The 14,006-nt window shown below is 62.4% G+C and overlaps 1 long non-coding RNA gene across 2 annotated transcripts, besides 7 other annotated features; it reads left to right on the forward strand.

Moving 5' to 3' along the window:
- Nucleotides 1-115: 115 nt before the first annotated feature.
- Nucleotides 116-9,150, forward strand: LOC105372863 (uncharacterized). 2 transcript variants are annotated; one of them, XR_001755430.2, is made up of 3 exons: nucleotides 116-210; nucleotides 1,586-1,756; nucleotides 5,063-9,150. It is a non-coding gene; the product is annotated as an uncharacterized LOC105372863 (long non-coding RNA). The 2 variants fall into 2 exon arrangements; XR_007068009.1 differs by having other exon boundaries at nucleotides 1,586-9,150.
- Nucleotides 4,129-4,284: a silencer, noted in NCBI's record as "fragment chr22:20218481-20218636 (GRCh37/hg19 assembly coordinates)". NCBI's record gives its function as "represses an EF-1alpha promoter that drives an FKBP-Casp9 reporter gene in an ReSE screen in HepG2 liver carcinoma cells {active_cell/tissue: HepG2}" and the evidence as "EXISTENCE:reporter gene assay evidence [ECO:0000049][PMID:32094911]".
- Nucleotides 4,129-4,953: a biological region, named in NCBI's record as "H3K4me1 hESC enhancer GRCh37_chr22:20218512-20219305".
- Nucleotides 4,160-4,953: an enhancer, noted in NCBI's record as "H3K4me1 hESC enhancer chr22:20218512-20219305 (GRCh37/hg19 assembly coordinates)". NCBI's record gives its function as "activates a minimal SCP1, AML or CMV promoter by ChIP-STARR-seq in naive H9 embryonic stem cells {active_cell/tissue: H9 hESC(naive)}" and the evidence as "EXISTENCE:reporter gene assay evidence [ECO:0000049][PMID:30033119]".
- Nucleotides 11,141-11,733: an enhancer, noted in NCBI's record as "H3K4me1 hESC enhancer chr22:20225493-20226085 (GRCh37/hg19 assembly coordinates)". NCBI's record gives its function as "activates a minimal SCP1, AML or CMV promoter by ChIP-STARR-seq in primed H9 embryonic stem cells {active_cell/tissue: H9 hESC(primed)}" and the evidence as "EXISTENCE:reporter gene assay evidence [ECO:0000049][PMID:30033119]".
- Nucleotides 11,383-11,532: a silencer, noted in NCBI's record as "silent region_13483". NCBI's record gives its function as "represses an Ori minimal core promoter by ATAC-STARR-seq in GM12878 lymphoblastoid cells {active_cell/tissue: GM12878}" and the evidence as "EXISTENCE:reporter gene assay evidence [ECO:0000049][PMID:35858748]".
- Nucleotides 11,717-12,011: a silencer, noted in NCBI's record as "tiled region #11316; HepG2 Repressive DNase matched - State 12:CtcfO, and K562 Repressive DNase unmatched - State 25:Art". NCBI's record gives its function as "represses a minimal TATA promoter and a strong SV40 promoter by Sharpr-MPRA in HepG2 and K562 cells {active_cell/tissue: HepG2 | K562}" and the evidence as "EXISTENCE:reporter gene assay evidence [ECO:0000049][PMID:27701403]".
- Nucleotides 12,223-12,282: a silencer, noted in NCBI's record as "silent region_13484". NCBI's record gives its function as "represses an Ori minimal core promoter by ATAC-STARR-seq in GM12878 lymphoblastoid cells {active_cell/tissue: GM12878}" and the evidence as "EXISTENCE:reporter gene assay evidence [ECO:0000049][PMID:35858748]".

Genomic DNA, 14,006 nt, shown 5'->3' on the forward strand with positions numbered 1-14,006 from the left:
CCCCCTGGGTGATGGATTCTGCCAATCCAGCCCTCCCTTGCCTTCCGGCGAGGAGGGGTCATCCCAGGCTTCGGGTCAGGATGGGCAGAGCAGACCACTGGGGGCCAGGCCATGATGTTCCTGGCCACTCCACGTCCCCTCGGCTGCCGTCCTGTGTGCTGCCCTGGGAGAGTGCAAGGAAGGGTGGCCCCCTGAGGCTGATACGAAATGGTACGGTGATGTGAGGGGGTCAGGAGGGAGGACCACTGTGGGAGGCGTGAGGTGCAGTGGAAAGGTCAGGGAGACCTTCTGAGAAGGCCAGCAGGGAGGGCTGCCCAGGGCCTGGAGAGCGTGCATAGCTGGGGGCAGGGTGGGGGCAGCCGGCAAGGGCAAAGCCCAGTGGGTGTGGCGATGCCCTGGGGGATGGGCCCCGATGCCCCTAAACTGGTTCGGCTCTCTAGACCAGACTAGTGTGCTATGTCGGAGCCGAGCAACAGTCCCCCTCAACTGTATGCATGTACAGTAGGCGCTCAACAGACACTTGCTGGATTTGACAATAGCCCTGGACGGAGGACTGAGGCCTGGGCTGCACACATTCTGGGCTCCTGCAAGCCCCTGGCAGCCCTGAGCTGGTTTCTGAGTGCAGAGGGAGGGGCTGTCAAGGGTGGAACCCACACATGCCAAAGCCTGGAGGCCAGTGCAGGGGCAGGGCACCTGCTGCCTCGGGACAGCGCTGAGGTTCAAAGCCACCTGCTGGTTCCCACCTGCCTGGCACAGGACCCTGTGTCGGTGGGGGTGGCCAGATAGGGCAGCTCCTTGTCTCCCTGGAACCTGTACCCTCAGAGGTCCAGGATCCCTGGGGGAGGTTCCGGGGCTGGAGAGACGGCCCCTGTGGCAGGGCAGGGACAGACGGGCTGATTCTATCTAGGATGGGGGCACACAAAGACTTCCTGAGGGGCGCTTCAAGGCCACAGCAATCTAGGTGGGACAGGGACATCAGTCAGAGGTGCCCTGTGGAGACCCCCAGGTCCAGCTCCTGGTACTGTGAGAAGCCAGTTGTTCCCTCGCAGGCCGCCAAGGCACCGCACAGTCCTGGCCTGAGTCGTTGTGGGGTCTTGGGGAGGAGGGTTCTCTGGAAGGACACTGAGCCTGGACTTTGGGGCAAGAGACCCAGAGCCCCTGGATGCTTGCGGCCTCAAGGCCCAACATGCAGCCAAGCAAAAGCTGGGGGCACAGGCAGGGGATCCCCTCTGGGGAGGATGCAGAAGCCGAGCCAGGCTGGGCCGAAGCTCCTTACCTGATCTGGTGTCCTCCTGTGCGATGGTACAAGAGCCTCAGGGCACATCTGGTCTCTGTGACACCCCCCGAGACACCCGGGGAATGTTCCCAATGACCACTGTTGGGCCACTGCCCGACCACGTCACGGTTGCCCCTGCCAGGACTCAGGCAAAACCCAGCTGTCCCTGGCGCTGTCTCCCAACAGCCCTGCAGGGCCCAGTGCTGGACCAGGGCCTTGTCTCCAGCCTCTCCCCCATGGGACTCTGGGGCCTTTGGGGGCCCTTGGGGGCCTTCCTGCACCCTCACACCTACTCATCTCTGGACTCAGCCTCAGTGTGAATGCTCACCTCGGGCTGAGCCAACCCCTCCAGACACGTTCTGCAGCTCGAGGAAGGAACTGCCCTTTGCAGCTGGGATCTGCCCGAGTTTCAGCAGCAGCCTTGAATTGTAATCCCGAGCGGCTGGCGAATAACACAGCACACAGCACTCGAGAGCCCAGGTGAGTCCTAAGTGGGGCTGGGCTATGGGATCTCTGGCTTCTGGGCCTTTCTCAGAACAGACCCTCCAGGCCACTCTCCCCTACATCCCCGGTTGCTGCACTGGGTGCAGGGGTCCAGAGCCAGGTCAGCTGCTGCCCAGGGAGAGGGCCAAGACTGCAGACCCCGCCAAGCCTGGGGGCAGCCTTCCTGACAACAGCACCATTTGCTGCTTGGGATCAGCCAGGCCGGCTCCCCGCAGATGGGAGGGCTGTGAGGTGAGCACCAGCGAGCCCCTGGAGGTGCCAGAAAATGCCAGTGTGGGCACCAGGGGGCTTCCTTGGGCTGGCATGTCAGGGGAAGCCCACTGGGGCGGCTCAGTGCCCATGATGGAAGCTCAAGTCCCACGGTGCTGCCCCAGGAGCTATACCCCAGTGAGGGTCGTTGGCTGGCGATGTGTCTGGCTGGCATGGGCTGCCTGGTAACGAGGGGGGCCCATGTGTGAGGAGCCTTAGGTAAGGATCCAGCTGGCACACCGAAGACCCCAGGCCAGGGGACACAGGCTGGGGGAGGGGGCTACAGAGACATGAACCCAAAAGAGAATGTCTGCTGACATCCCAACCCTGACAGATAACCAGCTGGGTGACAGGTGGGGGCTGTGCTCAGATCACCCTCCTCTGTCCTGTGCACATGTGTGGGTGCATGGGAGTCCATGCGTTGCTCCTGGCTTGCCCCCTCCTCTCCTCGGCCCAGCTTGTGGTGCTGCGCTGTGCATGGAGCTCGGTTTCTTAGCAAGTTCATGCCATGAGCCGCCAGCTAGGCTGAGGAGGAGTGGGTCTGGGTGCCACTGGGGCGGTCTGGGCTTCCCTCAGCTCCAGGGCTCTTGCCCTTGCTAGCATTGCTGTGATTCTCACCATTGCGCCCTGTTACAGAAGAGACAACTGAGGCATGGGGAGGTGATGGGACCCCCAGGGCCACCCGCAGGAGGTGGCCAGCCCAGCAGCCCTGCCCAGTCCCCCGCCGGCCTTGTGCTCCCATCTGGGCCCCTATCTGTAGTTTCCCCAGTTAACAAAATCACAACAGTCATTCCTGGTTGTTCTTGCTGAATTCTCTCCATTTGAGGAGCAGCATTTTGGGGTCTGTGTCCTAAATGGACCCAATCACAGGAGTCACCCAGGGCACTGGCTCAGCCCAAGACAACACCTTCCCCCATGTGGACACACACACATGGGGGAAAGAAAACCTTGCCAACCCGCCCTCTAGCAAAGGGGCCTGGACTCGCATTTTTAACAAGAACCAAGAGATCCCGTGGAGGAGGTAGTCCACAGGGGGAAAAACACCCTTGAGTCTCAAGTCCCCCGTGGCTCCCCAGCTCTGCCAGTGGCTGCATGGCGGGTGAGATGATGGTGGCTCTTGGGTCCCTCTGAGTCTTGCTGCCCAGGCTGGCACCGGCACATTTTGTCTTGGCTCCATGCTGTCGGGCCCTGAGCTGGGCACTGGGCTCCCTGAGTCTCGTGGGAGCTGTCTGGGTCCTGAAGCAAGTGGTGGCCCGAGCAGGGGAGGCGGTCCCCACCCTCGGGGACACTGTCTGCTCCGGCTGTGGGCTCCGGGGGCTGAGAGCTATTTCGGCTGCACTGGCCTCTCCACTCCTGCCAGGCTTCAGTGAGCTAAGATTGTGCCAAAGTCAACAGAACAGAAAAGAGAGGCTATGGCGCTCTGTCAGGGAGAAAGCCCAATTAGGAGGGGCTTGTGGGGGCAGGGCGGGAGTGCAGAGGGAGCCCCGGAACCTAGCCAGCCCACTGTGATGACAGGGCCTTCGACAGCAGCCCAGCACTTGGACTGTGCAGAACTGCGGAGATGGTGCTGTGAGCCTGGGGAGGGTGCCTTTCTCCCCAGGGGCCCGCATGGGGCCAAGTCTACCAGACTTCTGAGCCGGCATGTCTGGGTACAGGACCTGGCCCTGCAGAACTAGCCTGGGCATCAGAGCCCACCAGAGGTGACTGCCAGCGGCCAGGACCCACCACGGAGTCTCAGGGAGCAGCACACGGGTGGGGAGCGGGTGGAGGGCACACAACGCTGGTGGGGCATGGGCCTGGGCACCTCTCCAGCTGGACACTGCACATGACACCCCAGGCCAGGCCAGGGTCCCCTGACTCACAGACCCCAGGCACAGGGACATGCTGTTTTCCTTTTAGTCCAAGTGTACGGGGTGAGGAGCTGCAGCCCCCACCCTGAGGGCCTGCTCTGTTTAGAGGGGGTGCCAGGGTCCTGGGTCCCTCCCTCTGTTAGAGCTGTCTGGAAATCCTGAGTCGGGTAGGTGAGGTAGGAAAGGGAGACCTCCCCACCCACTGCCCTGCCTGAGCGGCTCCCACGGTCTAAACCCTGTCTTGGGGGTGGTTCCCAGGAGGAGGCAGCAGAGCCTGGTGAAAAGAGACCAGACAGTGTGGACCTCCCTGGCCCTGGGATCAACAGCCTCTCCTGGGCCCAGCTTCCCCAGGCCTGAGCTTGGGGTTGGAGGATCGGCAGGAGAGTGAGTCCATGAAGGCACCATCCCCACCCCTCAGCACCCTTTCCCTCCATGTCATCTCGGCCACCCATCTCAGAGCCCAGCTCAGCACCCGGGCCCTACTGGGCCACCCCGTCAGGCCCTGAGTCCCCATGGAGGGTTTGGAGGCTGGAGGCCGGTCAGCTGGGGAGGGGAAGGGCAGAGGAGCAGGGGTGAGCCACTTGGCTCAGGGCTGAGGACCTCTCGCACTCTGGCCACTGCAGAGGGTGTCCGGCTGGGGCAGGAGGGCTGTGGGAGAGAGATCACATCGTGTGTGGGAGGGGACAGTCCCCTCCTGCCCAGTCCCCTCCTGCCCAGTCCCCTCCCCACAAGGCCTTAGGGAAGGGTGGGGGTGCCACACACCATGGGCTGGTGCCCCCATCCTGGCTTTGCCTACCTAAGGCTCTGGGATTGGCAGGCATGGAGTTCCCCAGCCCTGAGCGTGGCAGGGGCAGGATGACAGACCCACGGTCCCCTAAGCCCTCCCTCCTCCACTTACACCCTCGCCCGCCAGACCCCAGTCATTCTCCTGCCCTCAGGGCCTGGATTCAGCCCCACCCCCAGCCTCCTTGTAAGCCCGGCCTTATTAGTGCTGCTTCACCCCGACTTTGCAAGTCAAATTCCGCATTACTGCGCTCCTGCTCTGTTTCCACCTTGATGCATGGAGAGCTGGAGAGCAGCTGGAGCAGAGAAGGCACTGCAATGAGGCGGCAACCCGTGCTGGCCAGGGGCCCCAGGGCCCAGAGCCAGGTGGGGTGGACCCCGAGGCCCTGTCTTTCCACAGGTGTCCAGGGTCACTCCCACCCCACCCTTGGCCTCCTGCTGGCTCAGCCCCACACCCCCACCAAAGGGCCAGGCTCCGGGTGAGTGATCCTCAGGGCCCCCGCACAGGCTGTTCCCTCTGCACACAGGCTATCCCTGCCTTCCTGTCCAGCCAGTGGGTGGGGAGAAGCGAGTCCCTCCTTTCAGGGATTCTCAGGAACCGAGTGGCTATCAGGGTATGCAGCTGTGATGCACGTGGCAGGAGAAGACCTCAGACGCCACAGCCTAGCTCTCTGTGGGGCAAGTGTGTCTCAGCCTCTCTCTGAGGAGAGGAGAGCCCCTGGACTGGAGGGTGCCCTGCTCAGCTCTGCCTGGGTATTCTGTGGCTTGCAGGGTGGAAGGTGAAGGGCTGCAGGCGCTGGCCTTCCCAGGCCCCCCACTGTCTGCCCAGCTTTTCCTTCTTTGGCAGCCCCAGTTCCTTCCTTATACCCAGTGGGACAGCAGGGCCCAGCCCTAGGGGCCGCAGGAGACAGACATGCCCCAACTGAGACAGACAATGGCCAGCATGGCAGGTGGCCCAGTCTCGGCCACCAGGACGTCCTAGGAGGTACGGCCCCTCAGCTAAGCTGGCTGTCCTTAGTGGCCCAGCTCTGGCTCTGGCTGGTCCTGTGAACTCAAGATGGCAGACACTGTTCCTGGTCTCAGGCCAGGTCTTGGGTGAAGAACGTTGGGTGTAGGACCCTGTACCTCTCCTCCTGGAACACCCCCAGTGGATGGCGAGGTCACTGAGGCTCCATCCAACGGGCAGCCTCCAGGGCAGCCCTCGCTCCTCCCTTGCCCTGGAGGTGGGCACGGGTCAGTGGAAGGATGGGACTGAGGGGCTGGGCCCTTCACCGACCCTGGAAGGTGGCTCCCTGTGGCCTTCCCTGCAGTTTCCTGGTCCACTGTGGTTCAGCCTAAGACACAGGTGAAGGCCTGGTTATCACTTGGCTGCTTTTGCCAAAAGAGTGGCTTCCAGTGAAATCCTTTGGCTGCCGAAAGGCAAAGTCACCCTCCCTCCCTGTGGCCCCAACACCTGCAGGGTTTGTCAGCAGAAGGTTTTCACGGTCCACTGGGCATTCGCGGGCCTTTGGCATCCTCGAGGGCCTGCCTTTGATTAGCACACACCCTTTGCTTGACCCAGAGGGTCCAGATGGCACTGGCTCCACGGCATGGCCTTGAGAATTGAGGCCGGCTTCGGCGAGGATGGTCCCACCTACTCTGGCCTTCAGGCCTTCACCAGGAGAGATTCAGGCTGCTGGCCCAGCCAGTCTCTGCAGGGACACCCCGGTGGGCCCAGGGAGGGACTGGGGTCAGCTGGGGCCCTGGACTTACAGTGGATCCCACTTCCCCCACGTCTTGCTTGGTTCTGGGCATAAGGGTCCTAGTTCTTAGGGCCTGGCCTGGCCCTCTCACTGCTCCCGGGAAACCTCGGGAAACATGGCAGGCTGTGTTCCCCATCCTCAGGCTCCCAAGTCGCTTCTGTCCAGTCCTCTGCTGGTATCTGTGACTCAGCACCATGACGGGGCCCTGTCCAGGGCGTCCTGGGCAGAAGGCTGCTCCGAGTGCACAGCGGGCACCCCCATGGACAGGCTGCGTCCATGTGCCACTCCTTGGCCGCCCTCTCTTCATCTGTAGTGATGACACAGTGACCCCCACCTGCAGGCCTGGTGGCACTGCTGTCACCAGGCACAGGGAGCCTGCCCCCAACCTGGGTGGTGTTGTGGGAGTGGCTGGGCAAGGAACGCTGCTATCCCTGCTGAGCTGGGTGGGCACTGATGGGCATGGGGACCTGGAGTGCTGACCCCTAGCCCTACTGTCGGCAGGCCACGCCTGCCCCTCTGGGGAACTGCTGTGTCCCCCTTGGCTGGCCTAGAAGTGCCTAGAAATGTCTTTTATGTGGGGAGTCGGTGGGTGAGGGCCCCACTGTCCCATCCCTTGAGGAAGGGAGGGCTCTGGGCAGGGTCTGCACCAATTCCCCAGTGCCTGCTGAGGCCTGTGGCTGCCTCAGGGACAGTGTCAGTCACCCCTTCACCCTGGCATAGGTGTCCTATTTCCAGAGTGTAGTGCTGGATGCTTCTGTTTGGCTGTGTTAATTGAGACCAGCTTTTACAGAATGAGCCTCTTGGGGTGGGAAAATCTGCACAGCCTTGGTGTTTAGGGTAACCTGAAAGTGGAGAGTGAGCCTGGGGTGCAGTCTCACTCCCCCATGCCCCTGGGCACAGCTACCCACAGGCCCACAGCAGGCAGGCAGGACTGATGCCATCCTCCAGATCCCCCGACCAGGCCCAGAGGTGGGGCCAGGAGAGATCTGGGGAGTTGGTGCCACCAGATTTCCCAACCATGACAGGATGTCGGGGGGTGGGGGGCAACAGCAGGACTGCCCCAGGCTGGGTCCCCACCCAAGTGAGGCTTGGTCGTGGCCTCATGGCCAGTTTGTCCCTCTGCGGATCTGGAGGGGTCCTCGGCTGCAGCAGGGGGCCCAGATGATCCTGACCTGGGGATGGGAAGGCCTCTGTCCGTGGTTCCCCAGCAGAGCGGGGCCTGTTGAGAGGAGCAGGGGATGGTCTGTTGAAGGAGTCGGTGAACGGAGAGGCATGCAGGGATGGATATGGACAGGGCGGGTGCTCAGACCCTACAGTCTGAGGTGGAGGGGTGGGGTTGGAGGCTGGAATGGCCGCGGGGGAGCCTAGAGGGGTAGGGCTGTGGCTCCACCACTGTTGGCTAAGGGACCTCAGGGAGGGCTTCAGAGGCTGGGGCCCTGGCTCCCAAGGCCTCAAGACCCTCCTGCTCCCCCTGAAGGTAGCAGTGACCGCCTCTCAGAAACCCCTGGCATCCCTGGAGGCTGCAGTCCCCCGCCCCGCCTCCACTCTTTCTCTCTGCTCTGTCATTTTTCAAAAATAATTGTGCAGCAGCACCAGGCTGTCTCTGTGCCCCTCCTGTAGGTTGCCCTACCCCACCAGGTCCCTGGCTCGGCGTCCCCAGACTCTGCCAGGCTGGCCTCACCGTGTGTATCGAGGTGTTCTCCCTGCAAGGTCTTCATCATTCCCCAATTGCTCGCATTTATTTTTCTCCTTCCTTGGTGAGTGGCCCTGCCAGCCTCAGCCTTGTCTCTCCTTGGTGAGCGTCATTAATGCAGCTTCCGCGCCACGATCAGAGGGGGCTGCCCCCACCCTGCCGGCCCTGCCGCTTCTCCTCTGCCCGCCTCGGGATGGATGTTCATTTATTGCCCATAAATCTCTGCACAGCCCTTTGTAAAGACAAATTGGAGGCCTCCTGTTCCCCGGTGTTGGTTGGGCCGATCGGTGGTGGGTTTAATTGGCCCTTCCCGTGGAGGCTGCCCCTGCAGGAGAGGCTCGTTGTGGGCTGGGCCAGATGCACTGCGTCTGCAGAAGGGGCCATTCTCTGCCCCTCATTTTGTCTAGCGTCTGAGGCTGGGCCATGTGCAGGGACAAAGTGTGGATCCTCCCTCGGGCTTCCAAAACATGGCCTCCCCGCATTCACGTGGCCTGGCAGCAGCCCAGGCCCAGGCAGGGCCCTCTCTCACCCAGGGGGTGATGCCTGCAGCTTCAACAGCAACCTCCAGGAAGGAGGCGCATGGGTTCGTTGAGGTGATACAGGAGTGGAAGAGCTTGGTCCCTTGAAATGAATGATAGGGAAAAGGGGAAGTGCTGCGTAGAGGAGGGTGTGATCCCTGGCTGGGGCTCCATCCCACAGACCTAGGTGAGGACAGGCATTTTTGCATTTCCCAAGACCACCCTGGCCTGCCACACCCCCATCCTATGACTATAAAAACTCGCGAGACCCTGGCAGGCACGCACAAGCTGCTGGACGTGGAGAGGAGCGGATTGGCAGAGGAGCACTCAGGCGGCTGGACGTCGAGAGGAACGCACTGACGGGCGCCGGCACCCCGGCAGGCTACCAACCGGCAGCAGAATGACCTGGAGTTTGGCTGGGGCAGCCAGAGGAGAGCCCGGGCCCGACTCCAGGGGAAAACCGTCCCACTCCATCTTCTTCTGCCTTCCCCCATCTGCTACCTCCACTCAATAAAACCTTGCACTCATTCTCCGAGCCCACGTGTGGTCCAATTCTTACACCAAGGCAAGAACCTTGGGATGCAGAAAGCCATCTGTCCTTGCGATAAGGCAGGGCTCTAACTGGGGTTTAATTGAGCTGAGTAACAGAAGCCACCGATAGAGTTAAACTAAAACAGCAAAACTAAAAGAGCACCCTGTAACACGCTCACTGGGGCTTCAGCTATAAACATTCACCCCTAGACACTGCCGTGGGGTTGGAGCTCCACAGCCTGCCCGTCTGTATGTTCCCCTAGAGATTTGAGCAGCAGGGCACTGAAGCAAGCCACAACCCCATTGCATGTACTGTGAGGGGAACAAGGGGACTTTTCCTGTTTCACCAGCACACAGCAGGTGCCTAATAAACGCACAGCGAACTGGTCAGAGAGAGAGGGACCCTCCACCGAGCCCAGCCACTGCACAGGCTGGGAGGGCAGGACTCCTGCCGAGCTTGGCACCCTTTCCTGCACCCAGGTGGCTGTGAGCCTGGCCCTGCCCCGGTCAGCAGGCCTGTGCTGACCCCACATGCAATCTGCTGTTGGTGCCAAGGAAGTGCTACCTGTGCAGCTCTCAGAATGTCAGGCTGGGTGCTCCTCCACTGAGGTCAGGGTCAAGAGACCCTAGGCCAGCTCTGGGGGGCCCACAGGGCGTGAGGGGGGTCCAGGCAGCCAGCCCGGCCCAGCCTGGTTCCACTGCTTACTGTGTGGCCTTGGGGGGCTCCCTTGGCTTTCTGGGGCCTGGGGAACCAGGCGCGAGCTTGGTCCTGTGGTCTGAATCCAAGAAGACAGGTTGTGGGTGGGGACATTTGGAGGGAGGGACAGCCTCGGCCTCAGCTTTGGGACCGTGTGGCAGAAGCACCCTGTCTGGCCCTCTATGAGCTCCTCCAGGGCTGGGCCCAAGCAGGGACCTCTTCTTCCATGAGGGTTTACTCATTCCTCAAAACAGGCACAAAAGCAGAGGGCTGTTGAGGGGTAGTGACCTGCCCCTGGCTCTGGCCATGCGGGTCTGGGCACTGTGGATCCACTCCATGGCCACCTGGCTGGGTGAGGACCAGCCTGGAGGATCAGGAAGAGCTTCTTGGAGAAGGGAGTGGTGTCAGAACTGAATACTGAGCAAAGAGGAAGGACCAAGAAGAAGATCCTAAGGAGTTCTGGGGCTGGGGGCTGGGGATTGGGAGCAAAAGGAGAGATGAGGCTGGACAGGTGCCTGTTCCTCCACCCACTGGCTCAGGACTCCAGGCATGGCCCAGCAAGGGTCCCCTGCCCCTGGGAGCAGGACTCCCCTGCAGCAGACAGAGGCAGGTGGGGAGTGCGACGCACCTGGAAGGGGCTTCCGGAGAGGTGTGCCCTGGCAGAGCCCCACCTCCCCCAGGAAAAGACAGTAGCACCAGGCCCCAGCCCTGGAGAAGCCTGACCAACCAGAGAAGTCCCACGGCCTCCTCCATGGAGTTTGGGGCTCCTCCTCTAGACCTGGGATTGGCACTTTGGGGTCAGGCCAGCTGCTGGGGAGCCCTGGGCCCCGACACATGCACCCTCCCAACAGGAGTGGGGCTCCGGGGGCCACTGGGCTCATGCCCATCGCAGCCACTCTCCAAGGCCTTGGCATAATGGGATCCTTGAGCTGCTGTGCCCGGCGGGGTGGGGGGGGATGGGCTGAGATACACCCTTTGCTGACAGTGGCCATTGCACTTTTCCCACCCAGGCCTCATGTGGGGAGCCCTGCCAAGCCCAGGCTGTGGTGTACACAGGGGCTGGGCTGCAGGGCAGGGCTCCGGAGCGGCCTAGCCCAGAGCAGGGTGGGAAAGGAGCCAGCTGGGGTCCAGGCAGAACAGAGGCCAAGGCCACCAGTGAGAAATCTGGGCATGAGGGTGGCCACCAGGCCGGCAACGTGGGGGAAATTGAGTTGAGGGCTGGGCCTCCTCACTGTGGCTGGAGGCGGCCCAAAGGCCAGCTGACCAGACACAGAGCTGCCTCAGTCACAGAGGTGCCACAGCTCAGGGTGCCACCCCGAGTGACATCCCTAGGCTGACTGACACAGTGGAGGGAATTGACACCCAGGGTCTTGTGATGTCCCCGGGCACTGGGATGGAGAAGCAGAGCAGCACTCTGGAGCACAAACACAGTTGGCAGCGAAGGGTCTGCTCCCGCGTGGCCTCGGGCCCAATCCTGCCTGACATGTTGCTTCATGTCTCTGGGCCTCCGTTTCCTCATCTGTGCCCTGGGGACATTAGCAGTGTCTTCCTGCGGGGATGTGAGTGTGAGGTGCCCTACCACCCCAGGGAGGCTGTGAGCTGCAGGCAGCCCGGCAGTGAGGAGCCCCCACCCCTGCCGCCGCCGCAGTGGCCCGCCCCGGGCCCCAGCTCACACCACAAACACTTGCCTCCCTCTCAACTTGTTTCCGGCATGTTCTCAGTCTCGCTGGATGTTAGTTTACCATCGGCTGCTGAACATTCGGCAGCTTCTATTATTTCAGAACTAATTTAAGGATTAAAAAGTAATTCTCCCAATTACTAGGCAAAGCCCTGGGCAGCCAGATAAACAGGGGGCAGGCGCTCCCATCCAAGGACAGGGCTGCTCCTGCAGCCCTGGGCAGACAGGTGTGCAGGGCAGCTCTGGTGCAGCTCAGCCCCCAGGGCCGCAGGGGTGGAGTCGGGGTGGTTGAGAGGAATCCCCAGGAGCAGCCCAGCCTGGGCCCGACATCTGAGGGTTGCTTGCCCCTATCCCCCACCCAGGTCGGCTACAGCCACCTAGTGGTGAGCCCAGCCCCAGCTGTCACCTCCACCAATTGTGCTGGGTGGTGCTGCCCTGGCTAGGCCTGCAACACAGGGACAGGCCCATGAGCTGTGAAGGATTCGGTCCACAGGGCCCCCTGGGGCTGGCCAGGCATCTTTGGACGGGGCCAGGAGAGTCTGTGGTAGACCAGCAGCCCGCATGGGGTGGGGGCCAGGATTTGATACCCTCAAGGCTGATTCACGCAGCTTTAATTAGCTTTCTGCACCTGCTCTGGGGTCTGGGTGATCAAGGCTGGACACCAGCTGCCACCCCCAACCCCTGCCTGGTCCAGCACCTGACCTCAGGGGCCCAGCCGGCCGGGGCTGGTCAGGCAGAGCTGGGGAGTGCCGGGGTCGGCGCAGGAAGGAGCTGAGTCCCTGGGCCCTGGCCCAACGCCCCGCCCACTCCGGGCCCCTCGTCAGCAGCGGCCGGCCGGTGAGCTCATCTCTTCCTGGGCTGTAAATATCACCCAAGTGCTCACGACTCCCAAATGTGTCCTCCAGCCGGGCCCCTCTGCTGAGCTCAGCCTGCACAGCCCACGCGACACCCCCGCCCAGATGTCTCCTGGGCCTCGACAAAGCGGCCGCTCCTCTCGGCGCCCCCACCTCAGGGACGGGCGCCCCGTGCCGGCTGCTCAGGCCTGGGAGCCCTGCCTGCCGCCTCCACCCCATGGGAGCGTCCATGCATCCTGCTGAGTCCAACTTAAAACTCGTCCACTTCCTTCCGGATCCTCTCACCCCGTCCTCAGGTCTGGTTGGACTGTGCCCAACTCCCCACCCCTGCCACTGCACAGGCCCCCACTGTGGCCTGGAGGGGAGGGTGCAGAGCCCTGAGGGCAGCTGGTGGTGACAGTCAGCCCCGAAGCTGGCCTGAGGGCGACAGGTGCCTGCTTCTTAGTTAGGAGTGGGCCCAGCAGAGGTAATGAACTCCTTGTCCTGGGAGGTGTGCAAGCTGAGGCAGGATCTGCTGTCCTTCCACAAGCCATTGAGGGCGCCAGCATCCACTGCAGTTGGGTCACTCAGGTGGGGCTCAAGGCTCTTTGGAAATGGGTGGCTTCGGTTTCCTGGCTCTGACTGCAAGGAGCCCCCAGCCTCAGCTGAGAGCACTAGCCCAGATCCAGCAGTTTAGCTGCCTCTTCTCAGGCATGACAGGGGCCACTTGGGAGAAAAACTGAATAAAACCCTGCCTATGCCAGTGCCCAGGCACAGCCTGGCAGAATCCTGGGCCTGGCTGTGGGGTCACAGAGACTGGGGGTGCCAGGGGTGCTGATGGTAGAGCTCCAGGCACAGGACAGAGACTGCACAACATTTTGACATCAGGCCATCCATGGAGAGGCCTCTGCTGGGGCTGCCAAGGGTCTCCTGGGCCCAGAGGGGCTGCAGAGGGAGCCCTGGGCAAACAGCACCCCACCCCGGCAGGGCTGCCCTGCCTGAGCTGCCCCCAGCCTTGGGGCAAGGCTGCCGGCCCTGGATCTCAGGTGAGCAGAGGGGCAAACTGCAGGTGGAGGTGTGCGCAGCCACACGGGGGGCCTCAGCACCTGTGGGCACAGGCACAGGGTCTCTCAGGAGAGACAGGACATGTGGGAGGACCCTGAGGAGGGTACAGGCCAGACAGGACCACTGCATCCTGGCTCTGCCCTGTGCTTGATGGGAGGGGTCTGAGCCTTGGGCCGCAGCACACGCACAGAGAAGCGGGCGGAGGAGCTGGGGCCTTGGCTGCTAAGCGCGTCCTCCCCGCTTCTTCTCCCTCCTTCTCCTCCCCCCAGGCTTCTGGAGCCCCGGCCGCCCCCACGACCATCTGGCTTCACCAGCAACGCTCCCCCACACCCTCCCCCACGTCACTGTTTTTCTCCCTCTCCCCCTCCCCAGCCACTGCCCTGGCGGGGAGGGGGCCCTTTCCTGGGAAGGCTTCCTGGCCACGTGGCCCTTCCCTTTTGTTTCTGAGTCCTCTTCGGCCCAGGCCGTGGGAAAGCGTGCCTGTGCATATTTCTGCCTGTGCATATTTTTGCCTGGATGCGTGTGCTGCTCTCGAGCCCCCGGTGCCTGCATGTGTGTGGACATGTGTTCCCTGCCCTGCTGTGTGT

The sequence above is a fragment of the Homo sapiens genome, chromosome 22, assembly GCF_000001405.40.
Source record: "Homo sapiens chromosome 22, GRCh38.p14 Primary Assembly".
Taxonomy (NCBI): Eukaryota; Metazoa; Chordata; class Mammalia; order Primates; family Hominidae; genus Homo; species Homo sapiens.